Consider the following 17,250-nt stretch of genomic DNA (forward strand, 5'->3'; position numbering starts at 1 on the left):
CAATGTGTTGTAGTACCAGCCTCTGTACCCAGTGCTGAAGGCCTTAGCTTGGGCTGCCACCATAGACTCCATTTATTGCAGGCAATTGAGGCTGCCCTGGATATTGGCATCTTTTCAGTATCTAAAGTGATTTTAGCTGAGTATTCCTTATGTGTCGTTTAGGACTCTCCTCATTGTAGGTGATAGAAGTTCTACTTTAACTTACTTTCAAAAGTGACGATGTGTTGGAAGATTAGGGGCAACTAAACCTTAGGAAGAACAAGGATGCAAGCTGGATCTTAAAAAGAGCTGAAAGAAGAGAATGAAGCAGTCTGGACTCTCCCTGGCTTTTATCATTGTGTCTCTCCATATATTAGCCATCTTTCTTCTTGGTAGAGAAGGGCTTTTTGCGTGTGTACAATTCCTGATCCACAGTACTTCCAAATGTATGTTCAATATCCTGGGAAGAAACAGTTGACCTGGACTACATCAGGTAACTTAATGCACTCATTATGGTAACCACATGGCTGTAGGAAAGCCTGGTGCCTAGACAAAGAGGACAACGCTGTCTGAAAAACACAAGTTTCTCAGGCTGGCTCTATTTTCATTTCTGAATCTAATGTAGGAGTTTATTCTGGGATCAAGAACCCCTTATTATTTTTTTTCAAAAGCCATATTTGTTTTTGGAAATTTGATTTCCAAATTAGCAAGTGAGGCCCTCTCTAGTCTGAACCTATCTGCATTGTATCTGTTGCATTCTCAAGGTTTCTACAGGTTAATAGCCCATCTTCCTAGTTTTCAGAACTGTTGCATGTTCTACCTTGTATTTTCTTTTCGAGTTTGTGGAAGTAGTAGTCAGATATTTCAAACTCTCATAGTTCCCTCAAACTGTTTTCCTAGAGATTAATTTATACCTTAAAATTAAAATCACTTAGCTTTTTTTCTCAGTACAAGAATTAAATTGGAAAACAGTTACCCATTTAAGTTAAAAGTTATCTTAAATAAAAGGAAAAACATTTCAGATCTGGCACTAGATAAACCCACTGAAAAACATTATCAACAGAAGAAAGGATCTAGCTCTTCCTCTCAAACATCGTTAATCATCATCTTAATATCTGATCCACAAATCATCACTGCTGTTTGGAAAATCAAGCTCATAGCTCAATGACAGCATAATTATTTTAAAACTAAAGGAATAACACATGTATTTTCCATAAAAAAACTAGATTATAAAATGTTTTTTGTTTTTACTAATATTTTTCTTCATACATATTTAATTTAATAAATATAGATGTAATATTTATGGAAAATTGTGCTGCTTTTTCATTTTGAAAATTAATAGAAGATCTGTGAAATATATAACATGGTTGCAGAAAATGCTCCATGTATTAACTATGAGAAAATATCAATTACTTAATATATACTTTCACATACATATAGTATTTGTGTTTGTCACAAACACAATGTCTTTGTGACCTAGACAAATGTTTTAAAAGTCCACAGATAATAAATAGTATAAATCTCAAGAAATGTTATGGTTGATTCTGTTGATTTACACTAATTTAAATGTTTATGTGATAGGGATAAATGCCGTTATTTTCTAAGCTCTGTTTTTTATATAGCTTTTTAAAAGCTTCTTAGTATTGTTAAGAAGCTTTCCTTATAGAGGAATCAAAAATAATCCCATGATATTAGTCCAATATGTGCCATCGTTTTTTGGAATTATCCCCTGTGGCTGCTTTCACAAGCTGGCATTGAGTGCCTGCAGCTTTTCCAGGTGCATGGTGCAAGCTGTCATAGATCCATCATTCTGGGGTCTGGAGGACAGTGGCCCTCTTCTCACAGTCTCACTAGACAGTGCTCCAGTGGGTACTCTGTGTGGGGGCTCCAAACCCACATTTCCCTTCCGCATTTCCCTAACAGAGGTTCTCCATGAGGGCTCTGCCCATGCAGCAGACTTCTGCCTGGGAATCCAGCCAGGCATTTCCATACATCCTCTGAAATCTAGGCAGAGGTTCCCAAACCTCAACTCTTGTCTTCTGTGCACCTGCAGGTCCAACACATGTGGAAGCCACTAAGGTGTGGGGCTTGCACCCTCTGAAGCCACAATCCAAGTTGTACCTTGGCTCCTTTTAGCCACGGCTGGAACTGGAGCTGCTGGGATGCAGGGTACCAAGTCCCATAGCTGCACAGATCAGTGAGGCCCTGGACCTGGCCCAGATCCACAAAGCTATTTTTTCCTCCAAGGCCTCAGGTCTGTGATGGAAGGGGCTGCTATGAAGGTCTCTGGCATGCCCTGGAGACATTTTCCTCATTGTCTTGGCTATTAACTTTCAGCTCCTCATTACTTATTCAAATTTCTTCAGCTGGCTTGAATTCCTCCCCAGAAAATAGGGTTTTTTTTTTTCTACCACACGGTCAGGCTGCAAATTTTCCAAACCTTTATGCTCTGCTTTCCTTTTAAACATAAGTTCCGATTTCAAACTATCTCTTTGTGAATGCATGGAACCGAATGCATTCGGAATAAGCCAGGTCAACTCTTGAATGCTTTGCTGCTTAGAAATTTCTTTTGCCAGATACCCTAAATCATCTCTCTTAGGTTCAAAGTTCCATAGAGCTCTAGGACAGGGGCAAAATGCCACCAGTCTTTTTGCTAAAGCATAGCAAGAGTGACCTTTGCTCCAGTTCCCAATAAGTTCCTCATTTCCATCTGAGATCACCTCAGCCTGGACTTCATTGTCCATATCAATATCAGCATTTTGTTCAAAACCATTCAACAAGTTTCTAGGAAGCTCCAAACTTTCCCACATCTTCCTGTCTTCTTCTGAGCCCTCCAATCAGTTCCATCCTCTGCCTGTTACTCAGTTCCAAAGTTACTTCCACATTTTCAGGTTATCTTCATAGCAGTACCCCACTATCCTGGTACCAATTATCCATATTAGTCCATTTTCACATTGCTATAAAGATACTACTGGAGACTGGGTAATTTATAAACAAAAGAGATTTAATTGACTCACAGTTCTGCATGGCTGGGGAAGCCTCAGGAAACTTATAATCATGGTGGAAGGCAAAGGGGAAGCAATGCACGTCTTACATGGTGGCAGGAGAGAGACAGCAAGCAAAGGGGAAGTGCCACACTTTAAAATAATAAGATCTCATCAGAACTCCCTCGCTATCATGAGAACCACATGGGGGAAACAGCCCCCATGTTCCAATCACCTCTCACCTGGTCCCTCCCTCAACACATCGTGGGGATTACAATTCAAGATGAGATTTGGGTGGGAACACAGAACCAAACCTTATCAGAAGTATATGTATTTGAAATATATTTTGATAGTTAAACCAACATGATTTGGTGATGGATTAAATTTGGGTCTGGAGAGTGAGGGAGAGAGAGGAAATAATGCCATTTCCTTGGTGTTTAGCCTGAACAACTGTTGACACTTTTAATGAGCCGGAGTACATGGGGAAGGCACAGGGTGGTTCCAAGGAATTAAATTTGTGACACCAATTTGACCTTCGTGTGATGATATCAAGTGGCATTTTATTTGAGTCTGGAGCTCAGGAAAGAGGCTGTTATAGCATTATTGAGTGACACACATTCATGTCACATCACTCATGATATAAAGGTGGAATTTTCAACTACTGAATTAACAAAGCTATTATCTGTGTCTTCTTTTGAATGACATACATATATTAATTAATTACTAGACAAACTCAATGGACTTAACTAAAATAATAATTATAAAATTTGTGTGTTATAAAGGAGAGAAGGAGTTTATTCACTACGTAAGAAAAGACAAAAGATAAGTAGATTTACCTGTTCTGTTGTGGCTCTAAAAATTAAGTTTTTTGCCCATGTCTTTTCATAGTGCATAAGCTCTTTCATTAAGCTGATATTATACTGTGCTATTATTTGCAATATTCTGGAGGAAATTCATATAACTAAATGTCTATTTTATAATTTGATTTTTTTAAGAAAAAGAATTTAAAAATTAAGGACTATAGTCAATATTTATTTAGAATAAAAAAGAAATCAGAACAAATGTTAACTTGTAAAAAATGGACAAATACCACAAACATAGCACAATCCATGGAATAATGTAAGAAGTTTATAAACTTTAGGATGCATAGCTATATTTTTTCTGAATTTTGTTATAATTAATAATTTTGAAACATATACCAAATTATTCGGAATATGGGTGACACACTGGAGCAATTCATGTTTTTTTTTAGTTGCTTCATTATATTGAAGAACTTACATAACAAATTAGTCTTATACTACTCACGCAGACCCATTGATGAGTACGTGTAGGACATTTGTCAGTGACACATTTTTTTATGTCTCTTTTGCTCTTTCAGCCACAAATTTGCATGCTGTTTTACCTGGATCTTGCAGGTATTGTCAGGACAAGATGTGTCAGAGATTATAAGATGCTATGAGTTTATGAGGGTGTCAAGGTGAATAAAACATACTTAATCATTGAGAGGCAAAAGTACTATTTGCAATATTGCCGCAAGTGTGTTCCCTACCAACACAGGATCTATGAAAGTTACTCATTGAGATTCTCATCCAAAAAGAAAAAAGTGTATAGATAATTTATAATTATGCATGTTGCATTAGCAAATATATTTCTGATAGGTGAGAAACTATTCAGCTAGGTATTCATGAGAATAAAATTTTCCACTTAACATTCTAAGTTCACAACGAAAAAAGAAATTTCCACAGACTTGTTTTGGGCTTCATACTTTTTAAATTTCTTTCTCCTCTACTATCCACCTATTTCTGGGGCAGGAAAAACATAGGACACAGATTGCAGTATGACTTCTGACCCTGCATTTTTGCATCAGAAATCTGGAGAAGTCTGCACAAGAGATGTCCTGGAAGCCTTTCTTATATATTGATTGTGCCCAGCAATTACTTCACTTGGCACAGCAGTGAACATGAACCACAGGAACACATCCCACTGAACTCGCCTCTGCTTAAGTGGGTTCCCCAAGTGCCACTGCTACTCCAATGCCACCAGATAGGAGCATTGTCAAAACAAAGTCTATATCAAAGCAGCAAGTCAACAGATTGCAAGTCAACAGATTGCACTTCAAATAGCTTTCTCCGCATGCTTGACAAAAAAATAATAATAATAATCATGGGAACACCTATGTACGGCACTTCTGAGGGCCCTGAGATAGGCCTGTGCCAGTGAGAGGACCTGAAAGTTACATTTTACTAACTTGAGAGTAACTACATTCACCACACACAAGAAATAGCTAAAAATGCTGCAGTAGAACAAACTCAGAAATAGGAGAAAAATTGTCAGGCCAAATGTTAAAAGCTCACCCTCTTCTGTTTTTCTTTTTGATGTAAGCACCTGCTTCTAGGATATGCTTTCGAGAGGAAATAATTCCCTTCTGCAATGTTGGTTCTAGATGACTGAATGTTTCCATTTAGGCTGTACCAAAAGACGTTTTCTATTAGCTCTACCTTTAAGAACCTAATTTTGGCACACCCAGAAAAATAACAGAAACATGCAATAAAAATAATTCAAGGAATCAACAGTTAGATTAATTCTGGAATGGAACTAGACTATGTGGTATTGAATAACTATTTGGTACACTTCAAAAATACCTAGAAATAAATGGAAAAATCAAGGGATCATTTCTGAAAAACAAAAGAAAGAGCAAACAAATAAGGGCTTTATAACTACTTAAACTAGATCTGTCTCAAATTGATTCTATAATTTGGTTCCGTGACAAATCAATGTTTGATAAATATTTATAAGGATAAATGCAGAAAGATTATATTAATAGTAACAAGTATGCCCATGTTTCTCTTACCAATTATATGAGTTTTCAAAACATTTTTATTTGCAATAATTTAAAAAATATTTTTCATGACTTATTTGCCTTTTACTTTTTTTTGAGACAGAGTCTCACTCTGTTGCCCAGGCTGGAGTGCAGTGGAGGAATCTTGGCTCACTGCAACATCTGCCTCCTGGGTTCAAGTGATTCTCGTGCCTCAGCCTCCCAAGTAGCTGAGATTATAGGAGTGTGCCACTGCACCCAGCTAGCTTTTGTATTTTTAGTAGAGACAGGGTTTCACCATGTTAGCCAGGCTGATCTCGAACTACTGACCTCATGTGATCTGCATGCCTGGGCCTCCCAAAGTGCTGGGATTACAGGCATGAGCTACCACACCTGGCTTGCCTTTTACTTGTATTTATGATGTATTTGATGCCCAGGAGTTTCTAATTTTTATGTAGTAAAATTTATCACATTCCTCTTTTGTGGGTCCTTCCTCCTCCCATCCCATTATATATACTGCTGAAATGTTTTTCTCTATCCAAAAGTGCACAATTCAAATTGTATCTTTTTATATTTAGACTTATGTATACTTTTGAAAAATTCTAATAGGCTTACTTTAGATTTAGAATTTTTAAAAACTTAATTGAGGCTATATTGTTGAGAAATTTAACTTTTTAAATTTTCACAAATGCTGTTAAGATTAGAACTTGAATATGGCTGGGCGCAGTGGCTCACGCCTGGAATCCCAGCACTTTGGGAGGCTGAGGTGGGCAGATCACGAGGTCAGGAGATGGAGACAATCCTGGCTAACACGATGAAACCCCGTCTCCACTAAAAATACAAAAAATTAGCTGGGTGTGGTGGCGGGGGCCTGTAGTCCCAGCTATTCGGGAGGCTGAGGCAGGAGAATGGCGTGAACCGGGGAGGCAGAACTTGCAATGAGCTGAGATCGCGCCACTGCACTCCAGCCTAGGCGACAGAGAGAGACTCTGTCTCAAAAAAAAAAAAAAAAAAGATTAGAACTTGAATATGTTTTTATATACTCCCCTGCTTTCCTATCCATGATTGATTTTTAAAAATAATTTGGATTTTAGAACTTGCCTGTTATTATTCAATTGCTAATATTGTAGCTAAGGTGTATAATGTATACACCTTCTCATTTAATGAATGTATTTTAGCAGTTGAGTTTAATTCTGTTGATGTGCATTGCACTGATTTTGACAACTCATTATGTACTGGGTTTCAAGTGCTTCCTGCAAGTCTGTTTACAACTCCAATTTCTTTTCACTTAATTTTTTACTTATGAATTATATTTCAATAAGGAGAACTATAGCTTAGAATATATTTTTGCAGAAATATACATGCATGACATATTTGATAATATTACAAGAGAAGTTCATTTATTTGCCATTACATATAAATTGTCACTTGGACCTTTATAGAATGTTTAGTGTGATAAACATTTTCTAAATAGAAAGAGTGGAAGTCAAATTCTCTCTCTCTCTCCAGATGAAATAATTGCCTGCCTGGAAAACTCCACAGTATCTGTCCAAACGCTCTTAGAACTAATAAACAACTTCAGCAAAGTTTCAGGTTACGAAAGATTTTTGTTGGTGGTGGTTTTTATTGTTCTTTTGTTCTTTTTTGTTTTTGTCTTTTATCTTTTTGTTTAATTTTTTTTGTAGGATACAAAATCAGTGTATGTATTAGTATGTTTTCATACTGCTATGAAGAACTACCCCAAACTGGGTAATTTATAAAAGAAAGTGGTTTAATTGAGTCACAGTTCCACATGGCTGGGGAGGCCTCAGGAAACTTACAATCATGGTGGAAGGCAAAGGGAAAGCATGGCACCTTCTTTACAAAGTGGCAGGAAGAAGTGCCAAGCAAAAGGGGAAGAGCCCCTTATAAAACCATCAGATCTCATGAGAATTCACTCACTATCATGAGAACAGAATGGGGGAAACTGCAACCATGATTCAATCACCTCCACCTGGTCTCTCCCTTGACACCTAGTGATTATGGGGATTACTATTCAAGATGACATTTGGGTAGGGATACAAAGCCTAACTATATCAATGTATAAAAATCATCAGCATTTCTACACACCAATAATGTCCAAGCTGACAGCCAAATCAATAACAAAATTCCACTCACAATACTCACAAAAAGAATAAAATACCTAGGAATACATCTATCCAGAGAGGTGAAAGATCTCCACAAGGAGAATTACAAAACATTGCTTAAAGAAATCAGAGACAACATAAAGAAATGGAAAAACATTCCATGCTCATGGATAGGAAGAATCAATATTGTTAAAATAGCCATGTTACCCAAAGCATTTTACAGATTCAATGCTATTCCTGTCAAATTACCAGTGACATTTTCCACAGAATTACAAGCAGCTATTCTAAAATTCATATGGAACCAAAAAAGACACTGAATAGACATAGCAATCCTAAGCAAAAAGAACAAAGCTGCAGGCACCACACTACCTGACTTCAAACTATACTACAAGACTATGGTAAGAAAAACAGCATGGTACTGGTACAAAAACAGACACATAGACCAATGGAACAGCATAGAGAGCCCACAAATAAAGCCAAACACCTACAACCATATGATCTTGACCAAAGCTGTCAAAGACAAGCAATGGGGAAAGGACTTTCCATTTGATAAATGGTGTTGAGATAACTGGCTAGCCATATACAAGAGATAGAAATTGGATGCCTTCATTTACCACATGTAAAAATCAACTTAAGATGGATTGATGACTTAAATGTAAAACCTAAGATTATAAAAGCCTGAGAAGAAAATCTAGGAAGTGCCATTCTGGACATTGGCCGTGGCAAAGATTTAATGATGAAGACTCTAAAAGCAATCACACAAAAACAAAAAAATTGACAAGTGGGACCTAATTAAACAAAAGAGCTTCTGTATGAAAGGAAACTATCAACAGAATAAAAGAATCAACAGAATAAACAGAATCAACTATCAATAGAATAAACAGATAACCTACAGAATGGAAGAAAATATTTGCAAACTAAGCATCTGACAAAGGTCTCATATCCAGAATCTATAAGGAAATTAAATAATCAACAAGCAAAAAATAATCCCCTTAAAAAAGAACAGCCACTTCTCAAAAGAAGATACACACATAGCCAACAAGTATATGAAAAAATGTTCAACATCACTAATCACTGGAGAAATGCAAGTCAAAACCACACTGAGATACCACCTCTCACTATTAAAAAAATAACTTAAAAAAAAAAACAGATGCTGGTGAGGCTTTGGAGAAAAGAAAACACTTAGACTGCTGGTGAAAATGTATAAAACAGAACTACCATTTGACTCAGCAATCCCATTACTGGGTATATACACAAAGGAATATAAATCATTCTGTCATAAAGATACATGCACGTGTGTGTTCATCGCGGCACTATTCACAATAGCAAAGAGAGGGAATCAACCTACATGCCTATCAATGGTAGAGTATATAAAGAAAATGTGGTACAAATACACCATGGGATAATATGCATCCAGAAAAAAAAAAATGAAATTGCGTCCTTTGCAGCAACATGAATGGAGCTGGAGGCCATTTTCCTGAGCCAATGAATGCAGGAACAGAAAACCAAATACTGCATGTTTTCACTTATAAGTGGGAGCTAAACACTGAGTACACATGGACACAAAGAAGGGAACAACAGACACTCAGGACTGCTAGAGGGTGGATGATGGAAGGAGAGCGAGGATCAAAATGCTATCTATCTAGTACTATGCTCATTACCCAGGTGACAAAATAATCTGTACACCAAACCCCCACAATGCAAAATTTACCTATTAACAAATCTTCACATGTACCTCTTGAGCCTAAAATAAAAGTTGGAAAGAAAAAAAAATTACAGATGTGATTTTATTGATGTTACCACCTTCTGGTATTGTGTAAAGAAGACATTGAGATCTTCCTGTTCCATTAACAGAATCACTTTTGTTGCTTTGTTGTGTTAGATTTTGTTTGTTGTTTGCTCATTTTGCTGAGATATTTGAAGATTAGATGAGAAAAGATTATTTTGCCAAGGTTGAGGACACACCCGTGACACAGCCTGAGGAAGTCCTGATGACCTGTGCTCAAGGTGGTTGGGGCACAGCTTGGTTTTATACATTTTAGGGAGACATGAGACATCAATCAATATGTGTAAGAAGTACATCGGCTCCGTCTGGAAAGGCGGGACAACTTGAAGTAAAGGCAGGAAGACTTGAAGCAGGAGGGAGCTTTCAGGTCAGACAGGTGAAACTCAAACCACTGTGTTTTTTTGTTTCTCATTAGCCTTTCCAAAGGAGGCAATCAGATATGCATCTATCTCAGTGAGCAGAGGGGTGACTTTGAATAGAATTGGAGGCCGGTTTGCCTTAAGCAGTTTCCAGCTTGAGTTTTTTAGTGATTTGGGGGGCCCAAGATATTTTCCTTTCAAAGGGCATTTCAAAGGGGCATGTGAGATAAAGGATTGGAACTAAATATAATATGTTTCCCTAATTAAGATTATCCAGTGGATACAGTGAATCTGATGATATGTGAAAAAGAAAGAGAAAGAAGACGAATATAAATATCTGAGAAGGGAAGTAGGCTTGGGATTTAGAACACAAATGGAAAAACTGATTTTTTTTCTTTTTCTGTTTTTGAGATGGAGTCTCTCTCTGTCACCCAGGCTGGAGTGCGGTGGCACGATCTCAGCTCACTGCAACCTCTGCCTCCTGGATTCAAGCGATTCTCCTGCCTCAGCCTCCCAAGTAGCTGGGATTACAGTCTCGCGCCACCAGGCCCAGCTAATTTTTGTATTTTCAGTAGAGACAGGGATTCACCATGTTGGCCAGGATGGTCTTGATCTCTTGACCTCGTGATCTGCCGACCTCGGCCTCCCAAAGTGCTGGCATTACAGGCATGAGCGACTGCACCCACACGAAAAATTGATATTTCATAGCAAGAGGGCACCCTCCGTTGTAATAGGACCGAAGAAGGAGAAGAGGGAAAATGCCGCTGGTGGGCAGGTTTAGAGGAGGGAAAATTAAAAGGCTTCTGATGTCTTCTGTTTTTCTCAACTAAATTTGAATCTTGGTTATTAGTCAGGAAAGGATGGAGAAGGAAGTGATATAGACTTAAGCCAAAATAAAGTGTGAAATTATTAGTTTTTGAAAATTAGAAAATCCTATTAGAGAAACAGAAGAATTGTTTGAAGTCATACATTTAAATTTAAAGAAGTCCACTTAGTTCTGTTTCTACGTAAATATAAGTATGCATATAAATGTATATATTTTATTTCATCATGAACATGATGTGGATGTAATTATTGTCAATTTAAAAACAATCATATTTGGCCCTGATTACATGTTTCATCAGTGTCAGAATACTACATTCAGTACAACGAAAAATGTGAATCAGACTAAGAGACTTCTAAAAATAATCCCAGCATTATTTGAGGTTTCCCATTCTGATTTATTTGTGTGGTTTCAGGATTTATCAGATAGCCTGTCACCTAGCAGACATCTTAAATGTCACAAATTCTTTTTAATAGAATCCAGTTATATATACCTTCCACAGGACAGAAGCCATACCATTTACCTGTATATTTCATAAATAATGAAAAGTTAGTGGGTGTATGTAAAATTCTAGGATTGAATTTCTGACTAACTTGAATATCACATTAACAGAATACATATTTTCAAACCTCTGGATTATAGTAAAAGTTGACTTTACTTGATTACTATTTGTTTTCATAAGAATTACTTCTACCCTGAGTCTAAAAAAATTAGAAATTAACATAACAATACCATCGCCAAATTAACATTTTTTCCTAGAAGGTATGATTCTTTTCAAAATATTAGAAACTTAAAGCATAATATATTTCACAAAAATATCCATAAATAAATGGAATAATTAAATGTTCTTTTTAAAAAAATAATGGAATGCATTTAGGTAGGTTTAAAAATTACAAAATACAAATCCTGTGCCAAAGTCTGGAATGCTGTAGACTGGTTCACATGAACATGTTAGAATTGCAGGGTTTTTTAAATCAATACTTCTAAGCATGTAGATACTTGTACAGAAGTATGATGTCATACAGAAATGTACCATGATATTTACAACTGACAAAACATACAGAAAATACATTAAAATAATTTTATTAAAAACTATATTTTAAGATCTTATGAAAACTGTAACTTTATTGACTGCATCACCCCTAGTAAGTCTAAATTTGAAATTACAGCATCTTTAACATTTCTGGAAACAGATGGCATTATTCATTGTTGTGTAGCATTTTACTTCAAGATGGTCACTTGTTACCCTAAGATCTGAGGTGAAGTGACAAAAACGTAAATTTTCTACAAGAAAATCTCTTAACAGAGATTTATTTCCTTCTTAGTGGCTTTCATTTCATTTTAAATCCAGACTAAATTCTGCAGATCAGCCACTTCCACCTATCTTACTATATGAAGATGTTATATTAGAAAAACTTTAGACAAATTAAATTTAACAGAGTTTATTTGAGCAAAGAACAATTCACAAATAAGGTAACACTCAGAACCAGAAGCAGTTTAGAAAGCTTTATTTATTTATTTTTTTTTTTGGCATTGTGGCCAGTGAGTACTTGTAGACAGAAAATAGAAGTAAAGTAGTAAAGTATTATACGATAGTTTGATTGCTTATTGATCAGTTGGCACAGTTGGCAGCATGTGACTGGCTGAAGCTTGGCTGCTTTTGATTGGCTGAGACCCAAATATACATTACAAAGAATACACTAAATTAAGTTTTGGTTTCATTCCATGCTAGGTTAGGTTGCAGTTCTTTGGGTAGGAACTCAAAATATAGAGATAGCCTCAAGCCAATGGTCTCCTACTTATTTAACAGTTCTGATTATTTAATGTCCTTTAAAAAACATCTAACATTGTCCTGTCCTATGGAGGCTTGGAGTTTTGCATCTTTATTTTAACTTTCAGTGACTTCAAAGTGAACTTTTAACTCAGTCTTGTTAAATTGGATACTTTTGTGAAAAAGATCCCAAAGGTTAAGAGAAAATAACCCAAATGTAAACATGCATAAAATGTCTTTAATGTATTTTCCTGCATATTCTAATATAGTGACTTGGTAGATATGCTTGCTAAGAACTTCCTTATTTCAAAGATTTGAAAGATTGATTTTAAAAGCAATGAAAGGCAGAGACCAGCAGGCTGTGTGGTTCAAGACCTCTACAAGGTGGTAAGCTGTTCTAACTGCAGAAAAATTGAATATCTGGACAAAAAGCTTTCCAGCACTTTCACTGGCATGATTTCATAGCCTCCATCTCTTTAAAAATAAAAAAAAAAAAACTCTTAAGAACTCGATTCTGACTTTTAATATTAACCTGCATTTTTTTCCACTTCTGCAATTTCAAGGTGAAAATGGATTTAAAATTTCATTCTTAGAATCAACACTGGTAGACTTCCACTCTGATTAACTATAACAGAGACAGAATGCACAAAAGAGATTGAAAACCTTTAGACTCTAGAGTTTTTAAGGATGTTTTAAAGCTATACGAGTACTTTATTTACTAAGCGATTTCTATTATTCACTCTTGCTACCTTTGGCGAAGTGGAAAATTCTTACATAATAATAAAAAAATCACTATACAACAGAATCTTTGCCTCTCAGACAAGTATTCCACATATTTTGCACTATATGATTAAGACTTTTGATATTGGTCATGATTGTCCCTTTTGTAATGACTTATTTTAGATGATTTTTTTCCTCAAAATTATGGAGAAAACTCATAAAATTTGCTGGACAACAAATTACTGTGTGATATTTAATTCATTTGAAAGAGACACTATTTTTTACAGGGAGTTTAGTTTATGATTTATTGGTTCTATCTGTACATATAAAGCAAAATTTTCATACAGTTTATACACCAAAACATTAACAAATTACTCTAGATGGCTGGAGTGAAGTATTAAAAGTAGCAGATGTTCTGTAGATTACAAAGCATTGGTGTTTACGTTCTATTTGAATGATCCCTTGTGCCAAAAATGCTTCATTGTGTTTTGTTGCCAAGTGACTTTTCCTGGAAACTCAGTCCTCCTTGTTTTCCATGATATCAATCTTCTATGTTTCCAGCTGATCTTTCTCAATCTCCTTCTTGAGCACCTCCTCTTCTATCTATGCCTTAAAGATGGCTGAGCATACAGGCTGCATGTAAGGACCTTGATATGGTTTGGATCTGTGTCCCTGACCAAATCTCATGTCAATTTGTAATCTCCAATGCTAAAAGTGGAATCTGGTGGGAGGACATTGGATCATGGGTGCAGTTTCTCATGGTTTAACACCTTCCCCCTGTGGTGCTATCATTGTGGTAATGAGTTCTCATAAGTACTGGTTGTTTAAAAGTGTGTACCATCTCTCTGCTCTGTCTCTCTTGCTCCTGTTCCGGTCATGTAAGACATGACTGCTTCTCCTTCACCTTCTGCCATGTTTCCTGAGGCCTCCCTAGAAGCCAAGCAGATGCCATCATTGTGCTTCCTTTACAGCCTGTGGAACTGTGAGCCAATTAAACATCTTTTCTTTATAAATTACACAGTCTCAGGTATTTCTTTACACCAATGCGAGAACAAACTAATACAGAAAATTGGTATCAAGGAGAGGGGCATTGCTATAAAGACACCTGAAAATGTGGAAGCAGCTTTGGAACTGGATAATAGACAGAGTTTGAAAGGGTATGAAGCACTCAGAAGAGGACAGGAAGATGAGGGAAATTTTAGAACTTCTTAGAGACTTGTTTAATTATTGTGACCAAAATGCTGATAGTGATATGGACAATGAAGTCCAGTCTGAGGAGGTCTCAAATGGAAATAAGAAACTTATTAGGAGCTGGAACATTCACTTTTGTTATATTTTAACAAAGAGGCTGGGTGCATTGTGGCCCTGCTTTAGGGACCTGTGGAACTTTGAACTTGAGAGAGATAATTTAGGATATCTGTTGGAAGAAATTTTGAAGCAGCAGAGCATTGAAGATGTGGCCTGGCTTTTTCTAACAACCTATGCTCATATGGGTGAGCAACGAAATGACCTGAAACTGGAACTTATATTTAAAAGGAAAGCAGAGAATGAAAGTTTAGAAAATTTGCAGCCTGGCCATGTGCTAGAAAAGAAAAGCCCATTTTCAGAGGAGGAATTCAAGCAGGTTGCAGAAATTTGCAAAAGTAAAGAGAAGCTAATTGTCAATAGCCAAGACAATGGGGAGAAGGCCTCAAAGGCATTTCAGAGACCATCCTGGCAGTCCCTCCCACCATAGGCATAAAGGCCTAGGAGGACAGAATGGTTTTGTGGGCCCTACTCAGGGCCCCACTGCCATTTTCAACCTTGGGACATTGCTCCATGCATACCATCTGCTCCAGTTCCAGCCATGGCTAAAATGGGTCCAGGCACAGCTGGGGCTGCTGCATCAGGGAGTGCAAGCCATAGGCCTTGGTGGCTTCCACATGGCATTAAGCCTTAGGGCGCACAGAGTGTAAGAGCTGAGGCTTGGTATCTTCTGCCTAGATTTCACAGGATATATGGAAAAGCCTGGATATCCAGGCATAAGCCTGCTCAGGGGTGGAGCCCACATGGAGAACTTCTACTAGAGTAGTGCAAAGGAGAAACATGGGGTTGGAGCCCCCACACAGAGTATCCACTGGGGCACTGTCCAGTGGAGCTGAGAGAAGAGGGCCACCAACCTCCAGACCTCAGAATGGTACATCCACTGGCAGCCTACACCCTGAGCCTGGAAAAGCCATAGGCACTCAATGTCAGTTCTTGAGAGCAGCCCTTGGGGATGAACCCTGAAAAGCCACAGGGGCAGAGCTACCCAAAACCCTGGGAGTCCAACCCTTGCGTCAGTATTCTCTGGATGTGGGAGATGGAGTCAAAGGGGGTTGTTTTGGAGCTTTAAAATTTAATGACTGCCTGTTGGGTTTTGGACTTGCGTGGGGCCTGTAGCCCCTTTCTTTTAGCCAGTTTTTCCCTTTTGGAATCAGAGTATTCACCCAATACCCATACCTCTATTGTATCTTCAATCTAACTAACTTTTTTTTTTATTTTACAGGCTCATAGGTGCAAAGGATTGGCCGTGTCTCAGATGAGACTTTAGACTTTGGACACGTGAGTTAATACTTGAATGAGTTAAGACCTTGGGGGGACTGTTGGGAAGGCATGATTGTATTTTAAAATGTGAGAAGGACATGAGATTTGAGAGAGGTCAAGGGTGGAATAATATAGTTTGATGTGTATCCACACCCAATATCAATTTGTAATCCCCAGTGCTGGAGTGGCACCTGGTGGGAGGTCATTGGATAATGGATGTGGTTTCTTGTGGTTTAATGCCATCTCCCTTTGGTGCTGTCATCATGATAGTGAGTTCTCGTGAGATCTGATTGTTTAAAAGTGTGTAGCATCTCTCCCCATCCTTTGCTCCTGCTCTGGCCATGTAAGATATGCCTGCTCCCCTTTACCTTCCATCATGATTGTAAGTTTCCTGAGGCCTCTCCTGAAGTCAAGCAGATTGCCAGCATTGTGCGTCCTATACAGCCTGTGGAACCATGAGCTAATTAAACCTCTTTTCTTTATAAGTTACCCATCTCAGGTATTTCTTTATAGCAGTGCAAGAAGAGACCTCTTCTGTTCTCACTTCCATATTTATTTTATGTGATGTTACTTATCACCTACACGCTAGAGATTCCCAAACTTTCATTTTCGGTTTGAGCCTGTCTCTCAAGCCCTCAGTGTGTATAACTGTAGTAGACAGCCTATCTGACAATTCTATGTATTTGTTCCATAAGTTTCTAAGTTCTCCAGAAAGCTCCTCCTTTCTCCCTCCTGTGATTTTCACCATAATGGGAGGCATCTTTGTCCATCAAGTTGTCATAATATGCAACCTCAAAATCAGCATTGTCCCTTTCTGTGCCCATACTTCCCGGATATAATTACTCACTAAGTCCTATTGATTCTGTGTGTTTAATATTTCATAAATCTTTCCACTGTTGTCCTCCCATGTTGCCACTGTCTTGGTTTACACACTGACTTCTGTCACCAGAGATAATGTAACTTCCTTCTCCCTGGTGCCTCTGCTCTAGTCCTGTTTCCACTTAGGCAGTCTTTCTCATAAAGGACACAAGGATTTCAGAAATGTTGAAAGTCAGACTGGATGGATGGAAGCTTGCTAGTGAAAGGAGAGAGAATATCAAGAATGCTCACCTCTCAAAAATGTGTCTTAGGAAACTGTCTTTGAAAAGATGAGATGAAGAAGAATGGGATCTTTTAATCGCAGATGTATTAAAATAAAGATAGCCACAGGAAAAGTAATTGACTCTCATTCTTCAATCATGTGTACATTTATTGTTGGTCTTGCTCCCCAGATACAGGACGAATGAGATCATTTTAAGTTCCACTTTCTCCAAGAGAAG

Source organism: Homo sapiens, chromosome 4 (assembly GCF_000001405.40).
Source record: "Homo sapiens chromosome 4, GRCh38.p14 Primary Assembly".
In the NCBI taxonomy this organism is placed as follows: domain Eukaryota; kingdom Metazoa; phylum Chordata; class Mammalia; order Primates; family Hominidae; genus Homo; species Homo sapiens.